At 47.0% G+C, this 4886-nt stretch overlaps 1 protein-coding gene across 2 annotated transcripts in view, besides 1 other annotated feature; it reads right to left on the reverse strand.

Annotated features, from left to right (window-relative positions):
- The window catches only part of TBC1D7-LOC100130357 (TBC1D7-LOC100130357 readthrough), a 62002-nt gene that overhangs the window by 33529 nt on the left and 23587 nt on the right, over positions 1 to 4886 (reverse strand). The gene's annotated exons all lie outside the window — the stretch shown is intronic.
- Positions 3037 to 3086: an enhancer, noted in NCBI's record as "active region_24023". NCBI's record gives its function as "activates an Ori minimal core promoter by ATAC-STARR-seq in GM12878 lymphoblastoid cells {active_cell/tissue: GM12878}" and the evidence as "EXISTENCE:reporter gene assay evidence [ECO:0000049][PMID:35858748]".

The raw sequence follows: 4886 nt of genomic DNA on the forward strand, positions 1-4886 counted from the left end.
CCCTGCACTGCAGTAGACACAAGGGAGGCTCCTGGTGGCCCTGCGTCTGCTGTGGGATGCCTCCACCCACTAGGCTCTACATGATTGGCCCACAGGCAGCCCCAAGCCCAGGCCAGACCACAGCCTCTTTCCCATGGATTTAGGAATTGCGTCACGAAACTCTGTCTCCAGAGGCTGGACCTGTAATGTATACATTTAGCGTCTTAGGGTGGGGCATCTTCTACCAGAGTGATCCAGACTGCAGAGACACAGACTCTAGACAGAGCCCACACACTGTGTGGATCATAGATAAGAGGACGAGAGGGTCCAGGGTCTCTTTAGTCCCATCCCAGACTCCAAGCCCTCCCTCTTTAGGTTCTCAGCCTCACCCCTGCATCCTATAATAAAATCTCCTTTAAGCAAGCGTGCTTCAGAACAACTCTATTACTTGTCAATGGAGGCGTCTTAATGCTGAACCAGGCCTTCCCATATTCAACAAATATTCATGAAGAGCCCACGTGGGCTAGGAGATGTGCTTGACACTGGGGGAACGAAAAAAAGAATAAGTCATTACCACTAACCTCAAAGAGGTCACATAAATCTGGGACGTAAACAGATCATTCTAAACCAATGTATTAGTCTCAATGTTTGTCTTCCCCTAAAATGTGTGTGCTGAAATCCTAGCCCCCAGGGTGATGGTATTTGGAGGTGGGGCCTTTGGAAGGTGGTGAGGTCTTGGGGTGGTTCCTCATGCATGGGATTAGGACGCTTGTAACGGGCTGAAAGAGCAGAGTTCATTCCTTCCACCAGGACACAGCAGGAAGGCACCATCTATGAACCACACAGAGGGCCCTCGCCAGACACTGAATCTGCCAGTGCCTCGGGTGTGCTAAAGGCAGCCCCTGGCTTCAAGAATCTTGCATCTTAGAGGGAAACCACATGGAACACTTAATAAAAGTTCAAGACAACCGAACAAGAGACTTCCAAACAATTATTGCTAAATGAGTGGTCCCTGAAATGTTACAGAAGCTCAGAGTTAGGAAAATGCACTTTGAGCTTGGCAGTTAACAAATTTTCAGAGAAGGCAGAGCTGAGTTAGGCCTCCAAGCATACGGTAGATTCAAACAGAGACAGTGCCTAGCCACACTCTTGCAAATGATGCTCTTGAAAATATTAAATATCCAGAGTTCCATGCTTCTAAAAGTGCTTTCACAGCCAACTCATGTGATGCTCACAAGCACGCTGGGGAGGGAGGGATGTCACAGAATCACTGTTTGATGATGGGGAAACCAAGACACAGACTGAGTGATTGGCTTGGTTTGCAAAACTAGTGAGTGGGGCAGATGCTCATGCCCCCTGCCCGGTCCAAGGCTCTTCCTGTCACCTCTTCCATTACTAAGTGAAGGGGACACAGAATCACACATCTCACAGCAATTCTACCCTTCCTCTGGAGCTTCTGGACAGACTCAGTCCACCTTCTCCCTGGTGTGGCAGCACAGGAGTTGAGAGTTTCTACTAAAGATGTCTGGAACAAAACATCTATCTGTTAAATATGTCTTCCCTGCATGCTTGTACACTCCGAGAGGGCAGATACCATGTCTTGTTCAGCAATTAAGCTCAGTACCTGGCCCATAATTAAGACTGTATTCACATATATTTTGTGATTGAATGAAAACAAATAAAAAGACAAATGAACCAAACATATCGGTCAGAGGAGGGAGAAACGGGAGGTGGGAATGCAGGCCCACTGCGGTATAGCGTGCAGCCACCTGATGTTTAGGAGTGAATCTTCCAAAGCTTCTCCTCTTTGCTGCCCCCCTCTCAAATCTTCTTAGTATTATGTCCAGAGGGCAGGCAGAAGCAGGGAAAAGAGAGATGCTAAAATGTCCAGCAAGCACCAGCTTGCTACTTATTAAGACTCTAGGAAAGGATGATGGAGAAGACCAGGAAGTGACTCTGTGATAAAGCCAGTGCTTAGCGTGAGCTCTGGCAGTCCCGAGTGCCTGCCATGTAAGTTCCTGGTAAACTGCAAAGGAAAACCTCAGTATTAGGTATGAGTTGGAGATGTGAACCTTAAGCGCTTGCTATGACATTCAATTTGGAGTTGTGCTTAGGATGAGCTTCTAGGATTCTTGTGTGTCCTTCTCTGATGACATTCTCCAACTCCCTTTGTCATTGTCCTGGAGTAAAATCAGCCCCTGGGAGGGGGCTCCCCTTATGGGGAGTTATCACCTCATCTAGAAACTGTCCACTCACTTTTTAACCTCCCCAAGGCAAGGCTGACAGAGGGACCAAAGTGGAAAGGGCGACTGGTCGGGAAAGCCATGAAAGGCCAGCACCCCCACCGTGGTCCCCCAGAAATCACTACCACCCTCTGTTCTCCACACCGCCATCCATCACCCCTCCCTCCTACTCAAACTGGTGCCAGCTCTGGAGGAACATCAGCTGATCTAGGAGCCACGGCTTGTGCCAAGAGCCACGGACAGTTTCATTTGGCACACAGTCTCAAGGAGAAACGGCTCTTTGTTTTCACCAACAGAGGAGATGCCACCAACTCCTGCTCCCCAAATTCCCACACTCCTTTCCCTCTCTGTCAAGGGCAGAGGAAAGCACCTTCTGGCCCTTCTAGACCCAAAACACCCAGCTAAAGACAAAGGCTGCTGACCTTATGTGACCCGGGCAGATTCACTGTCCACACCCCACACCCCTCACCAGGCTCCCCAAAGGCTGCCTTGGCTGGAGAACTTGGGATGTCACTCTGCTGCTTACGGTCACAGAGCTCGAGCAGGCGCTGTCACTTGGGCCATGTGAGCCAGTGACTCATTTTAGGATCTGGTCCTGGGCATCTAAGCTCTTTGCTTACCCTCCTCATCCCCACTGGCTTCCCTCCAGGTTCTTCATTTTCAGACAGAAAACACCAAAACCTTGAGTCACCATAGGGACGTGATAACCACATGACAGGAAACTTATGCAATTCAAGACAGGGCAAGTGCCTGTCATACCCAGAGCTACAGTGCAAGAAGGTCCTCGGAGCTCCTTCAGCGCATCATATGATTTCAGTGTTGCCTCATAATTTTCAGGCGAACTTTCCATTAACAAAGAAAGTGCTTCATTCTCATGAACCCTGACCTCATTTCCTGAAACAGCCTTGACACACAAGCCTGTGTACACACAATCCTCTACACAATTATACCTCGACGCAATCCATCCATTCGATTTGTCAGCAGGCCAAAGCCACACCCCCAACACACACACACTCTCCAACCTTCCTCGGCCTTCCTTTCTCCTGGCCAAGAGGACTGAGATCTTCTCTCATCTGTGTTTAAGGCAAATCTCTAGACGGGAAAGAGCAGAAACTAAATTTGATCATGTTAAATTCCAGCTTTCCAAGGGCGAGGAAGAATCTCACATTTTAGCCGCAATAGTCTGTGACAGGAACCGTGGGTTGTAATATATGAAGGAAAAATTCTGCAGTATCCTGACAAAATGTTTTGAAGAAAAGGCATATGGATGTATTTTTATCAGGAACTGCGCTCCTCACCCAAGACAGCAGGCACAAACATTTTCAAAACACTCAGCTCTCAGCAAAGTGAAATTCTGCTATGAAGCGAAACTGGATGCTCATCCTCTCCATCCACCACTTTCTCAGGATGGGCCTTAAAAAAATCATTCCGCCAATCAGTGTTTTAATAAAAACTCTCAGATTGACTAACTTCAAGAAAAAATCGCCGCCCCACACCCTACAGCCAGAAAGGTTTTACCAAACTGGGTTTGACAGAATATACTTGCAGAATATTTATTTTTAGATCTCTCAGCAGTACAGTAAGAGTCTTTCGTTTCAGATCAGCTGGCCTCCAGCCAAAGCAGCGAAGTCAGAGGAACTTCAGCCCCTAAGCCTTCCTGCTCCCTAAGAGTACCAGCGCTCCTGCCTGGCTCCGGCATAAATGGTTGGCAATAAGTCATTTTTTATTAAAATTTTAACTCTAGGCAGCAATTTTGCTTTAAAAGGTTTTTCTTTGGAGTGCATTTTTATTTTAAAAAATTAAATACTCTTGGATATGTTAGTATTCAGAAGCAGCAGATTTCAACAGCTCACACTTTCTCTGAACTTTTTTTCAACAGATATTTCACACACTAAGGAGGGCCTGAATTCTCAGAATTGTACCTCTATAAGTTCATAGCTGCCCTCGTCTTTTAGGGGGTGGGTGGAAAATCCAACTCACCACTCAGGCTCTTGCAGGTCTGAAGGCTAAACCGGTGTGAAACAAAGGGTCCCCTTTCACTCACTACTCCCAAAGCCGGGAACTATCCAGTGAAGAGTGGCCATGCCATTTACGTGGCACAAGGTGGCCCAGGGGTGATGAGCTGTTCACCTTCACCGGCCATTTCTCTCACTGCTTTAGTGCGTGGCACAGTGCACCCTAACATCCCACATTTAACACCCCATCAAGAAAAATGTGAGTGCAGCAAAATATCCAACAAGTACTTGCTCCTAGGAGCAATTCAAACACATTTTGTTCAATAATGGTTTCATTCCAACTGGCCCAAAGAGAAAAAAGAGTAAGGAATTGTTTAAAGCCTGTTTAGCAAGATGAAGCCTCAGAAGGCAGTTGGCTTGGATTTAAACACGTATTGCATCAACAAAAGCCAAATCTGAGGTGTCAACAAAAGGAAGTCACTCTTATTCTAGAAACAGACCTTGAAAGTAACTAGCTTGGTGCTAATTAGAGACAGGCAGGGCAGGCTTAGTTATGCACTGCTGGTTAACACACCCACTCACCCTGACTAAACCGCTTTAAAATCAGGGAGCTATTTTCTAACAACCCTTTTGAAATGCTATTCAGAGATGAACTTTACATTTCTATGTAACTGCAAGATGCTGCTCGCCAACACAGCAACACCAGGCA

This window comes from Homo sapiens, chromosome 6, assembly GCF_000001405.40.
Source record: "Homo sapiens chromosome 6, GRCh38.p14 Primary Assembly".
NCBI lineage: Eukaryota > Metazoa > Chordata > Mammalia > Primates > Hominidae > Homo > Homo sapiens.